A 25,862-nucleotide genomic window follows, 5' to 3' on the forward strand; every position below is an offset into this window, starting at 1 on the left:
TGGTTTCAATAAGTACCCTTGGCGCAAGTGAGACTAAAATAATCTATTCATTGAAATACCCTGATTTTTTTTTTTTGGTGGCTTATGTGCTGCTGCAATCCCGTCACCCAAATAAAGTGATCCAGAGAGAAAAATGGAAGATGGAAATCATTTAGGTCTCCCAAGGTCCAGCACACAAGAATGTTTATTTCCCTACCATTAGCCAAGTCTTTCAGAAGAAAACCTGGGAATAAAAATCTGTAAGGCCACTAATGTGGTACACATGGCTGATTCTAGGGCCGACTGCAAGAGATTACTGAGGCCAAAACCAGCTGACATCTGTGACAAAGATGTATAGTTCACTTCAAATCATTATCCTACCTTCTAGCAAACAAAGAAACCAGCTCTTGGCTCTGTGCCATCTCATCTATCTTCAAAACCAAAAGAAGTTTTCACTCATCTCTGAAAGGCATTTAAAATTGTAGTTTCCATCTAAGTAGGTCATCATCTAAGTCTGGACCAAAATTTTTCCAGCTCTCTGGAAAAGTAGACAAAAGCTACAGTTCTCTGAAGAGCTAAGGAAGACTGTTTCAAGATGAGAAGATGGACTCATTTTTTTGTCCTTCTGAGATTCAGCATTCCAAGGTATGTTGTGGTGCTAAACTATATTATCCAGTTCTAAATACGTGTGTTTATGTAACATTGGGGAAAACACACACAAGCACTCACACTTCAACTCGGAATTAAAATGAAACACCTTACACACAGACGCAACATATGATTGACTTCTTAAGTTCTCAGGCCCCACTATGACTGATAAGCCCTTAAAACATTTGGAGAGCAGAGGTGAGTAAGGACAGCTCAAGTCAAGGCAATTGACATCTGTTTTTGTCTTGGAGCATCTGGTCGCCCTTCATCCCACTTCCTTTAGAGAACTGCTCCTCTCTCAACACCTGCAGTTCTAATAGGGTCACCAATCACAGAAACCTCTTCTCACATAACTGCCCCAACCATCTCCCCACAAAACACACACACACATACACACTCACCAAGTCCTGGAGGGAGGATATGACCAAAGCAGGAACAGAGTCCCTCCATGAACTTTCCAAGTAGGAAGTGAAGATGTAAGGCTCTCTTGACCTTTCAATTGTGACCCTAGGGTACTGGCAACCAAGACCGCCCACCACACAGAGGAAAAAATGAGGGTCACACATAGACAGAGGCAGACATTGAGAACCAGAGATGAAGCAATGGTGAGAGACAAAGTCCTGCTACAGTTTAAGGCCCTGGATGCAGTAACCCCAAACTCCACACTTGATCCTTTCTGCAATTTTGTTACAAGAACTAACCAACTCCACCCCGACCCTTTTTCTTTTTTTTTTTTTTTTTTTTGGCTTATGCAGGCTTTGAGCAGCATTTGTGTCACTACTTTGGAGTCTTGCCCAAATTAATTAGTAAGGAAGTTTCTTCATTTGAATGTGTAAGGTCCTTTAAGATTTCATTGAACCTCCCTGAAACATGCCATGGCTTGTTGGGGTGGGGGGAGGTTATCAGGACTGGCAATTACTATGAATAACAGTTATCAATTAACGGTTTCTGATGTTTTATCAATTGGTGAGCTGCAAGTAATAGAATGACCAAACAACAGTGACTTAGACAACTCTGGGTTTATTTTCTCACATGACTAGACATCTAGAGGCAGGTCATTGCTGCTGTTGGTGCAATTTCTCAGAGATGGCAGCTCACACGTCTCTGGACTTGTCTATTGCTTTCTTTCTTTGGCCTTTCTTTCATGGTTATAATGTGGCTGACACAGCTCCACCCATCACATCAACCGTCAAGACAGAAAGAATTTGGGAAGGAGAACTGCTGGTGATATTTGTTCCTTTATCAGGAAAGAAAAAGATTTCCTAGAATCTCCCAGATTTCCACTTGGGTTTCATTGGCCAGATACTTGAGGAAGAGGAGGAGGAGCCTGAAGCTGAGCCAGGATTTCTCAGACTTATACTAGTGGAAAGAAGGGAGCCTGAGAGAAGGTAAGGGATAAGACAGGTCTGAGAAGTGAGTACATCTGAGTCGCTGGCACCATCAGGACACTTTGGAAGGCCCAGACGTGGAAGGAACCACATAGAAAGTGCTCATCCACCTTCACAGATCTCCTTTAAGGTCTCACTTCGAGATGCTCCTGAAGCAGAGCAGCCTTTCCCAAAGTGTGGCCTTATACCCTTATTTCTAGGAATATTTATAATTTGTAACAGATGGGACTGTTGTTAAACATATGTATGTATATTCATTCCACTCCCCCTCTGCCTTGGCAGGGAGTAAATTTCCTCTACATGACTGACTTTGGGCTTGGTTACATCACATGCTTTAGCCAACAGAATGTTGGTGAAAATGATGAAAGCCAAGGCTTTAACCATGTTTGTGGGGTTTAGTTGTACATTTGGCATCTGTGATCCACCATGAGAAGATGAAGCCCTGAATAGCTGCTGTTCTGAGGAGAAGGTGGAGACATGGAACGTACCTAAACCCAACCTCCAGTTTAACCCAACTAAGTTGTAGCCAACCTGCAGATATGTGAGGGAGAGAGATAAACGCTTGTCTTTTTAAGCCATAGGTTTTGAGATGGCTTGTTACACAGCATTATTGCAGCAGTAGCTGCCTAATACGTAGGTGCTTAGTTTAAGTTTTGGCAGAGCGCAGTGGCTCACCCCTGTAATCCTAGCACTTTGGGAGGCTGAGGCAGGTGGATTGCTTGAGCCCAGGAGTTCAAGACCAGCTTGGGAAACATGGCAAAACCTCATCTCTAAAAAAAAAAAAAAAAAAAAAAAAATTAGCTGGATGTGGTGGTGTGGTCCCAGTACTGGGGGGTTGAGGCAGGAGGATCACTTAACCCCAGGGAGGTAAAGGTTGCAGTGAGCTGTGATCATGCCACTGCACTCCAGCCTGGGTCACACAGTGAGATCCTGTCTCAGAAAAAAAAAAAAAGAAAGTTTCACAGTGGAGTAAGATTAGAAAATTGGTGAGTTAAGCAACTTTAATACATATTTTTGTTTTTCAGGGATTTTTTGTTTGGTTGGTTGGTTGGTTGGTTAGTTGGTTGATTGGTTGGTTGGTTTTGTAGAGGCAGGGTCTTGCTATAGCCCCAGCTGGTCTCAAACTCCTGGACTCAAGCAATCCTCCTGCCTTGGCCTCCCAAAGTATTGGGATTACAGGCTTGAGCCACTGCACCCAGCCTAGTAAACATTTTTAACTGAAAGAGAGCATTTCATGTGGTGATATGTTGTAGTAGTCTGCTTATGTTGTGGGTCGAATTGTGTATCCCTACCCTCAAAAAAATACCAGTACCTCAGAATGTAACCTTCTCTGGAGATAGGGTCTTTACAGAGATCATAAATGAAGTCATTAGGGTAGACTCTAATCCAATATGATTGGTGTCCTTATGAAAAGGAGAAATTTGGATGCAGACACAGCCACCCACAGAGGGCAGATTATGTGAGGACACACAGGGAGAAGATGATCAAGCACTAGCCAAGGAGAGAGGCCTGGAACAGACCCTTCCCTCACAGCCCTCAGAAGGAAGCAACCTGCTGACACCTTGATCTTGGATTTCTTCCCTCCAGAACTCTGAGACAGTAAATGTCTGCTGTTCACATCACTCAGACTCCAACATATCTTTTTGTGGGGGATATACAATTCAACCCCCACAAAACGTATGCATTATGAATTTCCAGGATAAGCATATCCAATATGTTGGGTGTTACCATGGACTGACCAGAAAATCCGTTTTGAAAAGTGTTATCTCCCTGCACACACTTTGGAAATACTGGCTTTGAAGGATCCATGGTTTCTTAGACTTATAGTGGTAGAAAAAAAGGAGCCTGGAAGAAGGTAAGTCTGAGGAGTGAGTACATCTGAGTTCCACCCACAAACCTGATGAAATTCTATCACTCACTTCCAATTGGCACAACTCATCATATCTGGACACTCACAATGAAGTTAGTATTTTAATAGAACATAGTTGAATGACCCTGTTGAAATGGCCCTGCAGGCTGGGGGCGGTGGCTCACGCCTGTAATCCCAGGACTTTTGGAGGCTGAGGCGGGCGGATCACCTGAGGTCAGGAGTTCATGACCAGCCTGGCCAACATGGTGAAATCACATCTCTACTAAAAATACAAAAATCAGCCGCGCGTGCTGGTACACACCTGTAGTCCCAGCTACTCGGGAGGCTGAGGCAGGAGGATTCCCTGAACCCAGGAGGTAGAGGTTGCAGTGAACCGAGATTACACCACTGCACTCCAGCCTGGGCAGCAGAGTGAGACTCAGTCTCAAAAAAAGAAAGAAGGCAGAAAGGAAGGAAGGAAGGGAGGGAGGGAGGGAGGGGAGAAAAGAATTATTTGCAGTTATACAAATAAAACAAAGCAGTAATAATAAAGGAAACACAGAAATGTGATCCATCTCGATCTTTTCAAATTTCATGTTCAAAATAAGAATCAATAAATCCTATGTTGAAACTGGATCAAAAACTCATATTAATATTGATTTAGAGTAGATTCTTTCCTAATGTGTTAAGCCAAAAATAGAAATGATCACATAACCATTGTTTAAAAGCTGTAACATTCCCCAGACAGGTTTACTTACACTTCTTGGGTTACGTTTCCCAATGACCTTGTCCCACTTCTGCACACGCAAGATGGGTAAATATTAGATCTAGTACAATCTCCGAGTGTGTGGTGCTATTTATATTCATGCAGAGCCTTGGCTAGCCATGCACAACCTAGGAAAATGTCTAAAAATTGCTTTATGTGTACCTAATTTGGAAGAAATCCGTTAGAAATACAACGTTAACAATTGCACAAAATACCGAGGAATATGAAAAGTCAGTAACTCTTATGTACCAAACTACAACACAGAAGTTTTTATAAACCTTAAAAAGATGTATTCACTCCTATGTTTCCTCTCTTTGATCTCCGTAACACAATAGAATAAAGATATAAAGAAAAGATAAACCTATATTCTTTTAGAGAAAATAGGTTCACTTTACTTCCCAACAGTTGTATCCACCCTCTCATCAGCCCTGCCCCCCATAACACCTATCCCAACAGCACAGGCCACTAAAAATAATAAGGGGCTACCTCGCGTAACAGTGTAGTATGGCAGCAGAACATCCTTTCTCAATACTTTCTCCTCATCCCTCCCCCAACTGTTCTACAGGTGTGACATTGAGAGCATGGGCTATGGGTTCATGGCATTCCAAAGAATCAGCTGTCCATAATCCCTTGCCCCACTCTCCTCCAATTTAAGAAAATATATCATGAAGCAAAAGCACAAGTGACAGCACCAAGATAACACTGCATCTGTGCACCCTGGTTTATACACCAAGATAACACTGCATCCGTGCACTCTGGTTTATACAAACAAGCACATGATTCTAAATTTCAGTGCTGCAACTCTTAGTAGTAGAGCAAATGTATTTATATTCATGTAGAGCCGCGTGGCTGAGAAGTAGGGCCTTGGAGGGAACTGGGTGGAGGAGAAGTGGGAATGGAGGAAGGGGTGGCATATCCATCCAAGAAACTGAGTGTCAACCCTTTGCACATAAGAAATTTGGTCACGGCCACCTACTCATTAGCTCCAAGGTTCCAAATAGTCCTGCACTCCCTGTAACACAGAGAGGGAGTTCAGCATCCTCCCTTAGATCTGGAGTTGGGTTCAGCTCCCTTAGACAGAACCATGAGGACTTCAAAATCTACTGCCAAGAAACTGATGAGCAGGAGCCCTCGACAACGCTGCATATAAGAAGGAAAGGGCTGGGTTAGTTAGCATTATATTTATAAAACTATGAACTTCCTATACAAGAGCATTTCAATCTCCTTACCTCTACCCTGTAATGGACCTGCTTCCAATTTCTCTTCACACAGAACAGTTCAAATTGTTTTAGATCATTAGAACTTAGGTTAGTGAAATTCTAAATATCTAAATACCCCTGAAAGAATTACCTTGATAGATGCAATCTCTGATTATTGTGGATAAGAAACCACAATCAAATGTCCCTTATCCCTTTTGTATTTCTTTCTTCCATATAGAAAAAGTTTCCATGATTTTTCCTTTAAAAGGAAATTAAGTTATGGTAAATGGTGAAAACCCTAAACAGCACAAAAACCATCTCTAGGAAAAAGAAATAAATTCCTAGTTAAGAATACAAATTCTGGCCAGGTACAGTGGCTCACGCCTGTAATCATGCCACTCCAAAGAGTTAGATGTCCATAATCCCTTGCCCCACTGTCCTCCATTTTAAGAAAACACATCATGAGGCAAAAGCACAAGTGACAGTACCAAGATAACACTGCACTTTGGGAGGCTGAGGTGGGAGGATCACTTGAGCCTAGGAGTTCAAGACCAGCCTGGGCAATATAGGGAGACTCCATCTCTACAAAAAAGTACAAAAATTAGCCAGACATGGTGACACACACCTGTAGTCCCAGCTACTAGGGAGGCTGAGGTGGGAGGAGCGATTGAGCCCAGGAGGTCAAGGCTGCAGTGAGCCAGTATCGCACCACTGCACTCCAGCCTAGGTGACAGAGTGAAACCCTGTCTCAAAATAATAACAATAATGATAATAAATCACATTCTTAATCATCTTATCAAAACTAGTCATTTTTTCATCTAGCATGTATGAAGTAGGATCTTCCTATAATACTAAATCACAGCTCAGTGATCTTTTAAGGAGGTAGTGATCATAAAGTTAAGATCTTAGACTTTGGCATGAAATAGACCAATGCCTTAAGACCTAGCTATGCTGCTTACCAACTGTGTGAACTTGGATAAGTTGCTTATTCTCTCTACATTTATGCTTCATCTGTAAAATAAGAAAAGTTCTAGCACCTACCTCAGATGACTGATGAAATCACTAAATAAGATAATGTACACAAAGCACTAAGCACAATGCCTAGCACACAGTTGGCCCTCAACAAATGTCTACTGGTAGCACTAGCAGTATAATAGAAACAACAGCAATAGCAGAAGATTGCTCCCCAAACTTTATTTCACCTAGCTCCATTTTTGGAAAAACATAAAAACCCCACTGGTAGTAATCCACCATATATGTGTCTCTCCTCCCTTTCCTGGACAGAAGAGAGGACTCCACCTCACACTCCCTTCAATTATGTCACTTTCAGTTCAAGGAATTAAAGAACCAATGTGCCATCTCCAGTCACTCTCCTCCCCTGCTGTGGCAACGTTTGAAGCCATGCATCAGGATGCAGAAATCCTGGATCCTGAGTCACTGCATGGAAAAGACCCGTCCCACAGAGTCACCTGACCTGCTTCTTACTTTAAGCAAATTAGAAATAAATCTCAAATATGTTAATCCACTGAGATTTGAAGTTTGTTAGTTACTGCAGCAAAACTTACCCTATCCTGACCAACAGGTACTCCTATACTTCTAAAAGGGATCCTAATATACTTCCAAAAAGAGAAGACAGTTTTTTTAATAGCTTGTTTTTTGTCAATCTTTATATTTTTTACTTTGTAAGACATCATATTGCAAGTAAATTGACTTTTCAAAATCTCTGCGCTTCTTCCTCATTTTACACTTTTTAATCTAAAAGAGAAAATTGCATTTTACTTGTATTAAATATACAGATTAATACTAGAGCTTTCACTGAGTCATATGTCACACAGTCACATTTCACCTATGATACCAAGGTATCCTGTGATCACAGTAAGACCAGAACAAGGAAGGGATAATGGAAGTGCCCTCAAGCATTCACACACTCCTGGCTTATGGCAACCTGAGACGGTTAAGTGGAATTATGGATATCACCTATTCTAAACTGAACTAACCCTCATGAAATGGACAAATGGTTCGAAATGTTTTTAATAAAAGTGGAAAAGGTTTTATATGTCACTAAAATGTATCTCAATGTATTATTTTGCTCTATCTCATCCACATTTAATTCTTCGTGGATGTCATAAAAGACACATAATACACTGGCAGTGTAATGCATCCTGTAATTTATAAATAAATATACATGTATAATTGGGGTCTGTGCTCAAAGATAAACTTAATGAAAGAAGCATGAGATAAGTCACTTTGGAGCTAACAGTTTAAAGAAGAGCTTTCAAACTTTTTGTCCCTGCTTGCACCATTCCTAAACTGCTTTAACCATTTTCCAAAAAATTAAAATGAAGAGAAAACCAGTATAAAACTGGGGGGAAATGTGCATTGTACAAACAGGTTCATAAAGACTTCATGAACCAGCAAAATCAGAAAGAAGCAGAAATGATACCGAAGAGCATCATTTTAGAGTGAAGAACAAACCTTTCGGTTCCAACTACAAAATCACATTTCTACGTCTGAAAACTAGCTTTGGCTCTGTTAGATAATCAAAAGGATAAGGTGATTGTTTTCTACACATAGAATGAAAACAAAAGGCAGATTTTCCTATAGATCACAAATGCTTCTACAGGCGCTTAAACTCCAAAGGAGTGGTAGCCAGGGAAACAGTTAGGAGGGTCAGCAGGTGACTCCAAGAAAGGCAGAGCACTTCGTTAGACCAACATCAAAGCCAGTTATTGGAAAATCACTTGTTCAGTCAACTTAGAGTTATCTCAATTTCCTTCAGAAAGTTAAATAATATCTGGGAATTTTTGAGCCACGTGGTATCACATTCCCTATGCCCCAGCTCTTAGCACTTCTATAAGCACCAATTAGAGATGAAGCTGGGGCCAGGTGTGCAATCCTAGAACTTTGGAATTACTCCTTGAAGCCAGGAGTTCAAGACCGGCCTTGGCAAAATAGCAAGACCTTGTCTCTACAAAAAAAAATAATTTTAATCGGCAGGCTGTGGTGATATGTGCCCGTAGTCCCAGCTACTCAGAAAGCTGAGGTGTGGAGGATCATTTGAGCCGGGAAGTCAAGGCTGCAGTGAGCTATGATCAACGTCACTACACTCCAGCCTGAGCAACAGCAAGACCCTGTCTCTTAAAAAAAAAAAAAAAGAGAGAGAGAGAGAGAGAGAGCAAGAGATGAAGCTGGAATTTAAACCCAGGTATGTCTGATTCCAAAGCGCTTATAAAAATAGCAGCATTTTAGGAAATAAAGTAGGCATTAAAAAAGAAAAGAAAAGAAAATAGCAGCATATAAAACAGGCCTCACAGAATAGGTGGGATTTGGAAATGAAGACTGGCTGAGATTTAAAGGGAGGTGGCAGGAAAAGCAGGTGCTGAGAAGGCCACCAGTGGAAGGGAGCAGCAAGAGCAAGGGCATGGCAGTGCAAAACCTTGGGTGTGTGCAGGAATTACCAGGCAGTGGTACAGAAAGCACAGATGTGGAGGGAGGCAGCACAAGATAAGGCTGGAAATGTTGGCCCAGGCCTTCTAGTAGAAGTGCTATGGGCTCAGTCAAGAAGGTAGACTTTATTCTGGAGGCAATGAGTAATCACTGAGGGCTTTAAAGCAGGAAAATAGCATAACTGCAGGTAGACACCAGGAACCTGTTTTTCCTGTGGCATGAAGGATGGATCAAAGAAGAGTATGAAGGTGACTTACATATAGTAGATAGTTAATTAATGCTGAATGGATGAAGGCAAAAACACCAAGTTAAAAATTTATTGTGTATCTCTAACATAACAAACCCATTTGATCCAATTCCATTTCATATTGTTCAATCTGCTACTTAGAGAACAACTTCACTCATTCTAGTGGGAAATAATGGTGCTGGTGCTTCAAAATAAAAATCAATTCACCAGTCAAATGTGGCCCACTAAATGTTGCTCTTAAAGTCTTTATTCTTACAGAAATTAACATTTTCTTCTTCTATTCAGAAGGAGGTACATCTGAACAGCTGTTGCAACTGCTGAAAAAGAAAACAAAATTAACCAAGTACAAAAGTTAGGCAATGACAAGTGATCCTCCCCACCCCACCCCTCTCCCCATCTGCAACCATGTGAAAAGGTTATCGGAAAATAAGGAAATTACAAGCTGTAATGGTATATTTCCTATGCTCTCTCATAGTGTCTAAGTCAAACACATACTAAGCCATAACCTTCTTGATGATGCCAAACTTTCTTCTGCACAGGTCGTGGTACCATCTGCAAAGCATCAACTACTCAGTGAGAAGCCAAGGCTGAAAAATACTGAGATGAGTCATGACCTACCTGATTTTCTTCATGGGAAACCCTCATCTGCTCCTTGAGGACAGACATCCGCGCTGCCTCTTCTTTCCTCAAGACTCTCTCCTTCTTAAGCTCAGGACTCCAGAAAGTCTTAATACTGTTCATGGAAGATCCCAATTTGCTGTCCTTGATGTCTAGCTCTTTCCGGAGGAGGTCATTCTCTCTCTGCAGTTCTTTCAGCTGGGCCTGAAGATCTAACATTGTGCTGTCTCTTACCTGCCTCAACATGGAGGGGACCTGGTGGTGGTGATGATGGGATGAGCCAGTCAGCCCACCATGTTGATCTGTGTATGAAAGGACATCTGTGTGGGAAAGTCCAGCAGAAGCAATATTGGGACTACTCCCCATGGCTGTGACACGGCCTCCATATACAGCTCGATTTGTAGCCCTTCCCAGAGTCATAGTGCCCTTTGGGTAGGTTGTTGAAGCCACCCCTTCATGATCACTCAGATACATGGGTCCAGACGTAGCATAGGCTGCATTGAGGGACTGGATATTCTCCATAGACAGAGTCTTGCCTGTTCCTCCACCTCCCCCACTACTTGTTCTTCGGTGGCCCAAACGAGGAGACCTTGGCAAACGAGGGGATCTGGAAGGGCTACCTTCCAGATTGGTGATTGTTCTTGCACTTCCATACATTTTTCTTGTATTATGAGGTGTTACTGAAGAGAAGAAATGCTATATTAAGTTGGGGTTTGAGCTAATATTTCCACGATTGTCCAGAATTTTCACCGCATTCTTTTCACAGTCCGTACCAGAAAATAACTCCACTCAGAGATCTACAAAGTGAAAAAAAGAATAATTAAAAACAAATTTCTTTAGAACTCTAACTGCATTGTATTTTTAAATATATAAAGATAATGATAGATGTACCTATGTAGATAGGTGATTAATAATAGACAGATAGAAAGAGCCACACCCATAATGTTGATTTATAAAGAAAAGCAACTCTAGAACTTTACTACTACAGGTGAAAGTTTTACAAATTCCCCCCACCCTGCCCCTAAGCAAGATAAAAATTCTCAAAGTGAAAAATAAGCTCTATTCTTTAAGAAAATGAAGCTCTCTATATTGGTTTGTGCTAAGGTTAGAGTTAGAACCTCTAGAAAATTCCCCATGGAATTGCCCATCATGGAGACCTTAGCTATAAAAAGGCCCCTCCTTTGGGGCATAACCCCTATATGCATGTGACTTGAAAGTGACTCTGAGAAGCTGCTGATTCCTGGGATGTCAAATATTTGGCATTCATGTTGTTACCTTCCCCTCCTGTACTCATTACAGACATCACTAATCCATCACAGTCTTCTTTTCCACTAGGTTCAGAATTCTTCTCAACACAACACTCTAGATGGCTTACCACCAATCAACTGGTATTAACACATGAATTCAAACCTACTGGCTATCCTGGAGATAGAAGAAAAAGAGGTAGCTCAACCAATGGGATGCCTAAACACATAGCCAGATCCTCAATGATATTACCAGAGAAAACAACAGTCCTGTCTCTTTTCCCTTTCACACACATCTTTCAGGCTGGCCTCTTGAGAATTATTTCCCATTTTGGTTGACCTTAATATTCATATTAACCACTTCATGTCTGTACAGAAATGGCAAAGGAGAAGAAGTTCCCATCACGGTTACTGAAGTATACTAGTGAAGATTTTATGTAGCTGGGGCTACAGCATTGTGAGTATCCCTTCAATTTTAGCACCCATATGGCCTTAATGGGGCACATTATGGCCTCCTGTTCTTCCTCTTAGAAAGTCTTTACTGTATTTTCTTTTCCTTCAGCTTTACAACAATAAAAGAACAGATTTGAGAAAGGCAAACAGGTTCAAATGTCCATGCTAATACTAACCAGCTGAGTAACCTTAGACAAATTATTTAACTTGTTATGAGCTTCCACTCTGCAATCAACAAAATGCAGGTAGTACCATCTAACTCATAGTATTGTAAGAAATAGTAAGATGAGGTTTATAAAACACCTAGTTTTGTGCCTAGTACCAAATAGTCAATAAATAGATTTTGAAGGTAAGTGTCTCAATGAGATAAGTACATTAATAGCAGTATACATGGGTATCTTTTATTTTCACCTGCCTATCATTCATCCCTTCCCCCTCTCCCAAATACACACTTTCTGATTATACTGTCACTATTTTCCTTAGAGAAATTGTTCCCAACCCCCTACTCACAGTTCACTGGGTTTAGATAAGGTTGACTCCCTTCACTCCACCATCCTGGATGGTGCAAGGGGTGAGAACATGACCCACGCCTGGCCAACCACCATATTGTATCCTCCAGACATGGTAGCTAGTTTAGTGATGGGCATGTGACCCACATTGGTCCAACAAGACTCCATACTAGGACTCTAGTTGGAACAGCTGGGAAAGATAAGCTCTTCTTCAGCTGGAATTCCTTACTTTCAAGATAGAGCTGTGAGTACTTCAATGTGGAAAGGGCCTCCCTGAGGGTGGAGACAATACAAAGGGAACCACAGCTAAACTTCAAAGAGTGTGAAACCAAACCAGGTGACATCACTTCATACTCCAGATCCAGGAATCATAGAAGTTACCATCATCTATCATCTATACATCTGTTCCCTGGCCATTTTAGTTACATATGCCAGGTGACTGATTGCATTAAAGGTCTCAATCCTTTACTCCTTTTTTTATATATGTCTTGGCAGTGTTTTCCCAATGTGATGCTAGGTTCAGTCATGTGACTTTATTTGTCCAGTAAGGTGATAACAAATGTGAAGTAAGCAGACGCCTTAAGCAACACATGTGTTTACTCTCTTGCTCATTTTCCTCTACCATAGTAATTAGAATATTCCCAATCTAGCCTGATGCAAGATGAGAAATATAAAATAGAACCAAGTTGTCCTAGCCAACAGGCAAGCCGCCCCAAGATGTGTGAGCAAGCCCAGCCAAAGTCAGCAGAACTGCCTAGCCAACCAGCCACTGCCCAGCGGGGCATGAGCGAGCCCAGCTGAGATCAGCTAAACACCACACTTATGCACTTGATAAATGCTTCTTAGTATGTCACTGATGTTTTGTGGTGGACTGTTTTGCCACATTACAGGATCAATGGGTAACTGATGCATTTGTCTATAAATTTCCTTTTTGCTACATTCAATTCTAGATGAGATTTCTGTCACAGATAGTGACACATACAGTATGAAAAAATGTTTTCTATAAAGGTTTCCCCTTTCCCTCAAGAGGTCTTAAAAAATTATACACCTGTTTCTAACTAAAGAACTTCATTTCAAATGTTTATGTTGCTCAGGGCTTAATTTTGTTTTTCTTGGAAATACACAAAAACCATTTTGTATCTAAGATTTTTACATGAATAATCTGTAGTGTAAAAAAGAGGGGATCAATAGTTCTAACATAAGAATTCGGTGACATAAATGATAAGAGAGACAGATAATGGAATAGTGGAACAGGCAGTTACATGAATATTTAATAAGACAGAAAGATGTTCATGACATACTGGTGGCAGGGGGAGCAGACGACAAAACAATTTTGTGATTTACTCACACTGTTGTAAAACACACAAATACACATACACCCTTTCACCAGCAAAGAAGGCTGGAATGACACACATCAAAGTGTTACCAGTGGTGGAATTCCAAGAGGTTTTCATTTTCTTCTTTTTATTTGCATACTCTAAATTTTCTACAATTGAAACTGACTCAATTGTCCCATAGAGCTGATGTCAGTGGTTTCTTTGAAAAAACATAGAAATTGACCTCCCAGTTTTAAAACTTGAGAAAGTTGCATTTGTCTTATCTGAGTTCCTTTCTAAGGAAACCAACCATCAGGCCTCCCAGATAGTGTCAAGGAGCTCAAACTCGCCAGATTACTGCATTTGGGCAATGAGATGTCAGACCCTTCATCTGTCATAATTGCCTTGCCCTATCTGCTTCCTTTTAACCAACTCCTCTTCCTTATCCCTCCCTAATTCCTGTTTTTCCACTCATGATTACATTTCTTCCCTGCTATATAAACCCTTACGTTAGTTGGTCAAGGAGATGGATTTGAAACTGATCTCCCATCTCCTCAGCTGCAGCACCTGATTAAAACCTTCTTCTCTGGCAATACTTGTCTCAGTGATTGGCCTTCTGTGCAGCAAGCAGCAGGACCTGGACTGAACCTCTGGTGTTTTGGTAACATAATAATGATATATACTTTTTTCATTAAAAAAATGATTTTCTTTCTATGGTTCCAACAGTTAAATGAATGTATCTTTTCTGTGCTTACAATCTAGATGTCTGGGTTCTAACTGGGCCACCACTTATAGAGATGTCTTCCTAGAAAAAGTGATGAAATCTAACTTGTCTTCCTCTGTCTGCTCCCTTTGTATCTAGAGATACACATTTCTGAGGTCTGTGGCTAGGCTTGAGGTCCCGGAATGTCATAAAATTTACACGCACACAGATTTAATCCTCAGTGAATTTACCTGCCTACCTGGCCAAGGCTTTGGAGAATCCCAATAACCAACAAACAAAGTTAGTTTGTTCCCTTTGGAAACACACACACATATAACATACAACATGAAAAGATGTATTATCATGTTTGAAATATTGTTTCCTTATTTAAAAAGTAATATATGTTGCCACTGGCCCATAGATTTCTTGGGTTCTCCTTTTCTAGGTTTAATAACAGATGTATGCTAGTATCATAGATAGATTGAGAAGCTTTCCATTTTTCATATGTTCTGGAACAGTTAGCATAATACCAGTCTTCCCTATTCCTGAAATATTTTGTAGAACACACACATAAAACTGAATGGGCTTGGCAGGGAATGTTGACTCCTGCTGTAATGCTAGCTACTGAGGAGGCTGAGGCAGGAGGATTGCTTGAGGACAGAAGTTCAAGACCAGTCTGGGCAATATAGCAAGACTCTGTCTCTAAAAAAAATTTTTAAATTAGCCCAGTGTGGTGTCATGTGCCTGCAGTCCCAGCTACTTGGGGAGAGTGAAGCAGGAGGATCACTTGAGCCCAGGAGTTCGAGGCTACAGTGAGCTATAACTGCACCACTGCACTCCAGCCTGGGTGACAGAGGGAGAGACCCAGTCTCTTTAAAAAAGCAAAAAACACAGAATGGGCCTAGTTGTTTATTATCTTTTCACTTTTTCACTATGTTTACTTGTCTATTTGGGTTTGCTACCTATTTTGTGTCAATTATCATTAAAACGTCCCTTCACAAACAGTCTATTCCGTGTAGATTTTCCAGTCTTATTGGCATTGCTTTGTATAACTTTTCTTTAAAATTTTTTAAATGATATAGCTTTTGGTTTTATTAATATATTTTACTGCATCTTATTTTCCATTTCATTGATATCTCTTTATCTTTAATAAAATTTCTACTTCCTTTATGGTTTTTTTTTGCCCTTTTGCATTGAATGTTCATTTCTCTTTAATCACATTTCCTAATGAATGCATATAAGATTATACACATGGCTGCATATTCCAGAATTCTATGTATAAAACTCTTATTGGCATTTGTAAATACCTTGCTGTTTTTATTTTGAAATTTTTCTATCCCAGGAATTATTGAGAATAATATATTTAAATGTCAAAGTGGATAGAAATTTTATGGTAAACTTTCTAGTTCAAATTGTATAGCATTGGGATCATAAAATGTAACATATATATTTTCCAATCTTTGAAATTTGTCAAGACTTTCTAATTGGCTTATTAGTTTTTCTTAATTATTAAACCAACTAATAGATTATTATAGAAAATTTAGAAAATACAAATATGCATAAAGCAGAAAATGAAAACACTCTCAATCCTGTCACTCATAGATAACCTCTATTAACAAGCTAGCATAATACCAGTCTTCCCTATTCCTGAAATGTTTCGTAGAACACACACATAAAACTGAATGCGGCCGGGCGAGGTGGCTCACGCCTGTAATCCCAGCACTTTGGGAGGCCGAGGCGGGTGGATCACGAGGTCAGGAGATCGAGACCATCCTGGCTAACACGGTGAAACCCCATCTCTACTAATAGTAAAGTACAAAAAATTAGCCAGGCGTGGTGGTGGGCGCATGTAGTCCCAGCTACTCGGGAGGCTGAGGCAGGAGAATGGCATGGACCCAGGAGGCGGAGCTTGCAGTGAGCCAAGATCACGCCACTGAACTCCAGCCTGGGCAACAGTGCAAGACTCTGTCTCAAAAAAAAAAAAAAAAAAGAATGGGCTTGGCAGGGCATGTTGACTCCTGCTGTAATCCCAGCTACTCAGGAGGCTGAGGCAGGAGGATTGCTTGAGGACAGCAGTTCAAAACTAGCCAGTATGTATTATGTTACTTCCAATTCCTTTTAAGTGTGTATGTGTGTGTGTGCAGTTTTAGACAAAGCCAGACAATATAAAGACTATGTAAATCAAACTATATAAAGACTATATATAAGTCTTGTATTTTCCTTTTTCTCCATGTTTTATCTTAACATCATCTCCATTTCCCACTTAACATAGATGCCACAAAGTATTTTTATAACACAAGATTTTTGACAGATACTATGAGCCTCCAAAGATGGCCATCAAAAGTCCTCTCCTTCCTATACAGAATTGTCTGTAGTTCCATTAGTTCCATCAAGAAATTGATTCTATTTCCTTTGTCCTTGAATCTGGACTGGCCTTGTGACCTGCTTAGACCAACAAATGCAGTAGAGGAGACACTGTTCCAGCTCTGAGTCTAACCCTAAAGAGGCTTGACAGTTTCTGGTTTTGCTCTCTTAAAACTCAGCTGCCATGATGCAAAGAAGTCCAAGCTATCTTGCTAAAATTAGGAGCCACACAGAACGGCCCTGGAAGATGAAATACCACATACAGAGAGAGGCCACGTGAAGGAGAACCAAAGCACCCAGCCAAGAGTCAGCACCAAAACACCAATCCAGTGAGACAAGCCATGTTGGAGCTTCCAGCCCAGCCCAGCCACCGTCTTTAATCAGCTGCATGAATAACAGCCATCACTATATGTAACAAGACCACCAATCAACCCACTGAATCAGGTGGGAAGTAAGAAATTATTATTTAAAGCCCCACTCCAAGTTTTACAGATTTTTGTTACACAGCAAAAGAACTGAAACACTTAGGTAATTATTTTTAAAATGGAAATATCATAATTAATATTGTGATTGATAAAGCTTTATAATATTTTGATTGATAAAGCTTTTCAATGTTCCGTTTGAGCAATATTCAGATTGATAAAGCTCTTACTTCCCTAGGATAAATTCTTTTTGTTGTTGTTGAGACAGACTGTTGCTCTGTCTCCCAGACTGGAGTGCAGTGGCATAATCTCGGCTCACTGCAACCTCCGCCTCCCGGGTTCAAGTGGCTAATTTTGGTATATTTAGTGGAGACAGAATTTCACCATGTTGGCTAGGCTGGTCTCAAACTCCTAACCTCAAGTGATCCACACGCCTCGGCCTCCCAAAGTTCTGGGATTACCGGCGTGAGCCACCATCCCCAGCCTTCCCTGGGATAAATTTTAAAAGAATTATAAAATAAAAATGAAACAGCTGGATACAGTGGCGTGTGCCTGTAGTCCCACTGCTTGCGAGGCTAAGGCAGAAGGAAAGCTTCAGCCCAGGAGTTCAAGTCCAGCCTGGGCAACAAAGTGAGAACTCATCTCTATAAAATTAATTAATTAGTTAATTTTTAAAAAATCAAAATGAAACAATTTATACTCACATCCTTACTCTTGACTCTCTTTCCTTCACAGCTTCTACTCTACTCTCAACATATCCCAAAAGCCACCATCTCCTCTTGAGGCTACAAAAAAAATCCCGAATTACGAAACTCAGGATTTCAGCACTATACATTCAGTAAATACACCTAAAGAAGTATTTTTTTATTTATTTTTAAGGCAGAGTATCACTATTGTCACCCAGGCTGGAGTGCAGTGGAGCGAACTCGCCTCACTGCAATCTCTGTCTCCCAGGCTCAAGTGATTCTCGTGCCTCAGCCTCCTGAGCAGCTGGACCACAAGCGCACACCCCCTCGCCTGGCAAATTTTTGTAATTTTTGAAGAAACGGGGTTTTGTCATGTTGCCCAGGCTTGATCTTCAACTCCTAAGCTCAAGTGATCCACCCACCTCAGCCTCCCAAAGTGCTGGGATTACAGGCGTGAACCACCGTGCCCAGCCAAGAAGTATTTATTAAGTACCAACATTGTGCTACTCCAGCTCGGCTTTAGACCAGTACTTCCTGAACAGTCTGACAAATGTTCAGATAAACAAGGCTACTGGGGTTTTCGTTTTAACCCAAGATGTCTCAGAGACTTTTAGGACACTCATATGTATTGGGACTGTCCCAAAATTAAGTATACAATATAGCTTTTCCAAAATTGATTTGACAACCGAATCCTCTTCCCTTCAGAATACCTGAAAACATTTCACTGAACACTTGAATTTACTCATGCAATAAATACTTTTTAAGCATCAGCTTAACTCCCACTGTTGAATGAGGGGGATAAGGCAGTGATTGAGACAGACGCAGGTTCTGACTATGGGAAGTTTGCTCCCTGGAATGGACTTTCTCCATAAGAGCTTTCTTCACCTCAGATATAACAGGATTTGAGAGGAAGGTGATTACAGGACTAGGCACTGCTTTAAGGGCAGGTACATGAAATCAACCCCAATCAGAATTGACCTCTAACAGGAAAAGATAGAAGATCAAAATAATGACTAGTTGAAGTTTCAGCCCTACTAGGCCAGGAAATAAATATAATTCTGTATTTATTTTTCACACCTCGACAAAGAAGCCAGATTGTTAAAAGGAATACAAGTCAGCCATTGACAGGCTGCAGTAAGAGGCTGTGGAAACACGTTGTTGCTTACAACACCAAGATCACAATGGGCAAGAGATTATGTTCAATTCCACTGAACTTATCAAATCAAACAGGAAATTCACAGACCATCAAAATGGTAAAAGGGTAATGTCTTCACCACTGTACATCTGCTTCTTAACAATAAATTTTAGTTAGCGACGTAGGCTCACCACTATTTGGGAATTAGTTTCTCCCACAAAATTTATAAAGAGCAGGGGTGGTTTCCTGGGACCATTTCACCCCCGGCTGCAGCACATAGAGTGATACCAATGTCATGGAAGAAGGAAAGAATCAGTTGACAACATAAAGCAAAGGCAGGTCCCCATGGCTGTCATGTTCCCCTAAGCCTCATAATTCCTACTTGTTCTGTTGAGTCACTCGCACCCTCCCCCATGCCCCACCCAGCTGTGTTTCATTTCCCGATATATTTTAAGGAGCTTGTTTTGACACTTGGGCTTTTTTTTTTTGGTTGTTGTCTCCTAATTTCTCATCTATCCTGATTTGTTTCTAATTCTATAAAATAAATCTCTGAGAAAGAGCAAAAAGATCAACTTTATTGAGCAATCAATAATGCAATCATGTCTTCCATTGCCCATTACTGACTTAAAACTATTTTTAAGCTTTTCCACCCACCTATAAATGGGTTTTAGGAAAAAAGGTAGCAGTTAAGATCTTACAGTTTTAAATACTTATTATGAAGCCAAGACAGGTTCAGTCATTGGACTTTTTTGTGAACTCTTTAAAAATACCTACAATTTTTTTTTTTTTTTTTTGGTTGAGATGGAGTCTCACTGTGTCGCCCAGGCTGGAGAGCAGTGGCCTGATCTTGGCTCACTGCAAGCTCCGCCTCCCGGGTTCACGCCATTCTCCTGACTCAGCCTCCCCAGTAGCTGGGACCAAGGCGCCCACCACCACACCTGGCTAATTTTTTTTTTTTTTTTTTAGTTTTAGTAGAGACGGGGTTTCACCGTGTTAGCCAGGATGGTCTCGATCTCCTGACCTCGTGATCTGCTGGCCTTGGCTTCCCAAAGTGCTGGGATTACAGGCGTGAGCCACCACGCCCCGCCAATACCTGCCAATCTTATATGTTTGTGATGTGCAACTGTAAGAAGGGTAAATTATTAATTAGGTCAAACTGTGTACAGAAACAAATAAATGTTGCTGACATCAAAAAAAATTATAACACCAAAAAAATTAGTTGCGCAACACCCTTCACTTTAAAAGAAACTCATGAATAAAATTCAAAGTCCAAGGGTAAGTTCCGCTTATGGCTCAAACAAAATAAAATAAAAGATGGCTTTATGAACCTATAAGAATGCTTTCTCTAATTGCATAGGAATTCATAAATAAGATATACAGTCATCCACTCACTCTCTTAAAAGGCTTAAGGACTCTTGAACTATAAGCTCAGAAGGGAAAAAGCAGGGGAGAACCTTGATTCCTGTCTAACTCAAGTATCTCAGACTATCATGGTCTGGAACAGTCTATTTTAAGACAAAAGCACTTCCTGCTATCTGCTCTAAATTAGGTTAAGTTTATTTCCACAGATCTCCGCCTCAGCCCATCACCTGAGGCCTGCTGACAGACCGTGTGAGCTGAGATCATCAGTATCTCCCAAGATTTTGCCAACTTAAAATATCCTTTTTTTTCTAATCAGCATCCCTAACTTTTCCAAAATTCTGTGTCACAGACTACTAATTCTAAAAACCTTTCTAAAGGAAGACACAATGGAAAACAGATCTCAAACAAGCAGTGGCCACCCAGGAGCCAGATGTTACCTGCAGATGTGCTGTGTATAGCTAGCACAGTGTTGTTTAGAATTTCTATTAATAGTTGCCAACATAGAAAGATAGACAGTTCATATTAAAATCCAGATTCTGATGCTTCCTTAAAAATCTGAAAATCTGACAATGTCAGGCTCACCTTTCTACATGGCAATAACTGGTTGGAGCAACCAGCAGCTGCCCCTTCAAGAGAGGACATGTACCCTCCAGTTTGCCACAGTCTCCTCCACTCCCATTATCTTATATTCAGTCTGATTCCTTTCCTGCCTGCTTCCCCCAATAGGTATTTACATTTTTTACCACTCTACTCACATATAAGGTCTTAAACAATTCATTCTTTTACAATTCATTCTTTTACCACCCACTTCAAGTTCTTTACCAAATCTTATTAATTCTACCTCCAAAATTGCTCTTGAATCTTCTCCGTTGTTTCCACTCCTCTTGAACCAATGTGACTCTTGCATAAGCTACTTCATACCTCCTAAAGCTTCTCCTCTTATCGTCCTCTACTCTTATTTCCAAAATATCAGCTAAACTGTTTTAAGATACAATTACGATTATAAAATATCTCCCCTTACCCACTTAAAACCCTTTTAAAGCTTCCTATTGCTCTGTGGACAAAACCAAAACGCTTCCCATGGCCTGAGGCCCTGCAGGATCTGAGTACAGCCAACAGCCCCCGCCTCCCCTCTTGCCACTCTCTCCTTCAAAGACTCTGACAGGGTCTTCTTCCTGCTGCTCCAATGCATCAAGTCCCTTCCTGTCTCAGAGCCTTCACTCCTGCTGTTCTCTTTGCAGGGCTAATTCCTATTATTTCCTATTCCATCACTTACATGATAGTTTCAATAGCATACCCTCTACAAGATCTATCCCATTCAAATCAGGTCTCTCAGTTACATTCTCTCAAAGCGTAATGCTTTTTTTTTTTCATGATGTGAAAGACATGCTATCTTTTTTCTTTTTATAAGAGAAGCTGACTGGCCAAGGGTCATCTCAATGGCCCTCTTGTTTAGGTTAAAGTAGAGTTAGACTAGGTAGCCTGAATCCTCTGGTGAAGGTGTAAGGAAACCCTTCATAACCCAACTGAGGCTGTCCCTCCTCAGATCCCTGGTTTGGAAAATGTGAAATCTTGTAGGTGTCTTTATGCACAATGATCCGGGAACATTCACGGAGGGAAGTCACTGACACCCCAGTCTTAGGTGCCCAGGATTCAGAGTAAGTGAGATCTATGGGAAGGAATTAGCATAGCTCCACCAGACTTAGAGTTCCCAGAAATTAAATAATTACTTCAAGATAGAAGTCCAGGCTGGTGATTGGGACTCAGGACATGTGACCCAGTAGCCATGGAGAAGCCCCTATTGACAAAGTGTGTGGGTAAGGCTAGAAGCTTCTGGAGACCTCGCATGCTGTATGGAGCCTGTACAGTGGGGCACAAAACTGTGCACAGGGTTGTAACTCATGAGGAAGGCTATATGTCCTAGTTGGGGTTCCCCACCGGCAGATGCTGAGACAAGGATGTGGGTGTAGGAGGTTCATTTATAAGGTATTCCCAGAAAGTACTGAGAGGACAATTTGGAACTAAAACAAGGAAGTCAAGGAAGTCAATAGAGGGCGCATTTTCTTCTTTTTTTTTTTTTCTTTCTTTTTTTTTTTTTTGAGACGGGGTCTCCCTCTGACTCCCAGACTGGAGGGCACTGGCACAATCTCGGCTCACTGCACCCTCCAACTCCCAGGTTCACGCCATTCTCCTGCCTCAGCCTCCCGAGTAGCTGGGATTACAGGCGCGCATCACCACACCCGGCTAATTTTTGTATTTTGGGGTAGGGACAGAGTTTCACCATGTTAGCCAGGCTGGTCTCGAACTCCTGACCTCAAGTGATCCTCCGGCCTCAGCCTCCCAAAGTGCTGGGATTACAGGCGTGAGCCACCACACCCGGCCGAGAGTGCATTTTCAAGAAGGTTTCTGCTGCAAGCAACTGGAAAGAGCTTCGAGAAACAGTGGAGAACCGGCCTCATAGGTGCGCCTCCGGAAGGGCAAGAAACTCCATCATGGGCTGAGGGATGCTCCCTGGCACTCCCAAGTGAAGCCAAAGAGAAAGCCCTCATGTTCCCATACAGGCCATGAGTGCTGAGGAGATGCGGGTGGGGCACCAATAGCATCCGCTACACCCCCACATGGCACACTGTGTCTGAGCTTGGCCACGGGGGACTGGGTTGGCCTTCCCTTGCAGGACCACAGAGTGGGGACCACAGAGGGCACGCACAGCATCTTTCAGTCCGAGGGAGAACAGCCTCAACAGCGACACCTTGTGGCATCAAGATGTAATCATGTGATGGGCTGGTCGGACAGATTGATTTCCAGATTTGGATGTGGGATTTATATCCATATCCCGCTCGCTCTGGGGCTGTGTAAGCCCGAAGCAGCGGGGAGGAGAGGAAAGAGAGGGAGACGAGAAGTGGGGAAGGTTGGGAAGGCGGTCTAGTGGAGAGATTCGGAACTTCCAGCTAAACTGGCACATGGGTTCCAGCATTTTGGATTTAATTTGGACAAATGAAACTGGGAGCAAGGGTTGTTTATTTGCAATATATTGTAATATACTAATCTTAGTATATCTGTTACAATATTTATAAAATATAGAGATTATATTATTTACATTTAATATTTAATTTTAATATATTCTCTTTTCATTTATTTTTATAAACTTTATTAAAGCAGAACATATACATGATGAAGGTAGACCTTAATTGCACACGTTAATTGATTTTTTTTTTTGAGACAGAGTCTCGCTCTGCCACCCAGGCTGGAGTGCAGTGGTGTGATCTCGGCTCACTGCAACCTCTGCCTCCTGAGTTCAAGCGATTCTCCTGCCTCAGCCTCTCGAGTAGCTGCGATTACAGGTGCCCACCACCAAGCCCAGGGAATTTTTGTATTTTTAGTACAGATGGGGCTTTGACATTTTGTTCAGGCTGGTCTCGAACTCCTGACCTCAAGTGATCCACCCGCCTCGGCCTCCCAAAGTGCTAGGATTACAGGTGTGAGCCACTATGCCCAGCCTGCACCGGTTAATTTTTATATAGTGAGCACACCTGTGTTACCACTGTCTAGACCAAGACTTAGAACATTATCAGCATCCCCAAAGCCTCTCTCATGTCCAGTAATCCGTATATGACCCAAAAGCACTTCCATACCTTAGAATTTCATATTAATATGTGCAATTCCTTGTTGGGGTCTCTCTTCCCTCCTATTATAAACCCCTACACTGCAACCCAGGTTTTTACATTGGTGCTAACACTCTTAGAGCCCATGGCAAGAGTACAAATGGATGCCCAGATACCATGTGCCTATACATTTAAAGTTATAAACTGAGCTAACAAACTGGTAAACAAAATACATTCTACCTTCCTACCTTGAATACAGAGATGGGGAAGGTGAGATCTGAATTTTGAACTTAGAATACTTAGACTCCTCAGAATTCCACCAAAACATTGTGGCCGGAGGAAGGCCTGCCCCCCACACCTCCGCCAACACCCTTTCTCCCCACCTCTGGCCCAACCATACCCCACGGGCCTCATACACATGAACTCTGCAGCATGCAAGCTAGGCTTGCTCCAGCTATACCAGGGGTCCACAGGCTTTCTCTGTAAAAGGCCAAACAGTACACATTTTAGGTTTTGTGGGCCACTTGATCTCTGTCATAACTACTCAACTCTGCCATTTCAGCCCAAAAGCAGCCGTAGACAATTTGAAACCAAATAGGCATGGCTGTGTTCCAGTAAAATTTTATTTATAAAAACAAGTGGTAGTTGGCCGGGCGCGGTGGCTCACACCTGTAATTCCAGCACTTTGGGAGGCCAAGGCAGGTGGATCACAAGGTCAGGAGATCGAGACCATCCTGATTAACACGGTGAAACCCCATCTCTACAAAAAATACAAAACATTAGCCAGGCGTGGTGGCAGGCGCCTGTAGTCCCAGCTACTCGGGAGGCTGAGGCAGGAGAATGGCGTGAACCCAGGAGGCAGAGCTTGCAGTCAGCCGAGATTGTGCCACTGCACTCCAGCCTGGGCAACAGAGCGAGACTCCATCTCAAAAAAAAAAAAAAAAAAGTGGTAGTTGGATTTGGCCCACAGGTAGTAGTTTGCTGACACCTGATCTGTAACGTCACACATATGTGCCCCTCCACAACCCTAAGCCTAGGATGTGCACAGTGGTAGCCTGGCTTACCCCCAAGAAGATGTACTAGGAAAAAATTTCCAGGCAGATTCTGGAAGACAACTCAGGGTCATTTAGGCAAGGAGGTCACAGGCCTGTAGGTACCCAGAGCGGACTCTAGAATGCCAGGCACAGGCTCCAGGTGGGCACCTGCATTGGTCCCTTGGACTCTTCCTCCAGTGGACGGTGCAGTCAGAGGAGAACCAGAGTAGGCCCTCTCGCCCAAGAGTAAGGGAACACGGGAGCTATGCAAAACAACTTTGAAATAATTGAAAGGATGATGCTGGCACTTTAATATCATGACATTTTCATCATATCACTAAAATCACTTCCATGGCAGTTATAGGACAATTCTGTAATTGTAGCCAGAGAGGAGAGACATAGTGTTTTAAAAAGGAAAAGAGGAGCCTCAAAATCAGATTTGGCTGGAGTCATATTTCTGTCTTCTGGATACGCAATCTTGAACAAAGTATTTTACTTCTCTCATCCTCACTTTTCTCATCTGTAAAATGGGGATATCAGACTTTTCGTATAGATTTGGGAAAGATTAAATGAGATGATATAAGAAAGTACTTAGCACAATACCTAGCACACAGCTAATGATCAACAGAAGTTAACCTTGACAAGCCCAAAGCTACCAGAATATAACACAGTGGCTTTCAGCCTCAAAGTTGCCATAGAATTCTCCCAGTTCACTAAACTTAGCCCTGTCAGACACTTTGGAGTCAAACTCAATCTGCTGTTCAAAAGTGCTGAAGACATCAACCCCAGTTCTCTAAAACTAGAGAGAAAAATGGACATTGCCTTCCCCCATGATCTGCAGGCTACAATATTATGCATCCATAGTTATTCAAAGTCCCAGTAATAAACCAT

General features: G+C 41.7%; 1 protein-coding gene and 1 long non-coding RNA gene across 22 annotated transcripts in view, besides 1 other annotated feature; one reads left to right on the forward strand and one right to left on the reverse strand.

Annotated features, from left to right (window-relative positions):
* ERC2 (ELKS/RAB6-interacting/CAST family member 2) overlaps positions 1-25,862 on the reverse strand; it is a 960,157-nt gene that overhangs the window by 915,899 nt on the left and 18,396 nt on the right. For 20 of the 21 annotated variants that reach the window (NR_132749.2, XM_017006156.2, XM_047447950.1 and 17 more), the window contains exon 2: positions 10,142-10,938. Coding sequence is in view for 20 of the 21 variants with exons in the window: in XM_017006156.2 (XP_016861645.1) it covers positions 10,142-10,798 (657 nt within the window). In the remaining variant the exon portion in view is untranslated. Of the gene's footprint in view, positions 1-10,141; positions 10,939-17,856; positions 17,958-25,862 lie in introns of those variants that run through there. The other variant, XM_047447941.1, reaches the window with a different exon arrangement.
* Positions 11,264-11,765: an enhancer, noted in NCBI's record as "NANOG hESC enhancer chr3:56469501-56470002 (GRCh37/hg19 assembly coordinates)". NCBI's record gives its function as "activates a minimal SCP1, AML or CMV promoter by ChIP-STARR-seq in primed H9 embryonic stem cells {active_cell/tissue: H9 hESC(primed)}" and the evidence as "EXISTENCE:reporter gene assay evidence [ECO:0000049][PMID:30033119]".
* Positions 11,761-17,168, forward strand: LOC105377099 (uncharacterized). The gene is made up of 3 exons (XR_940862.3): positions 11,761-11,842; positions 11,948-12,083; positions 16,910-17,168. It is a non-coding gene; the product is annotated as an uncharacterized LOC105377099 (long non-coding RNA).

Source organism: Homo sapiens, chromosome 3 (assembly GCF_000001405.40).
Source record: "Homo sapiens chromosome 3, GRCh38.p14 Primary Assembly".
NCBI classification, from domain to species: domain Eukaryota; kingdom Metazoa; phylum Chordata; class Mammalia; order Primates; family Hominidae; genus Homo; species Homo sapiens.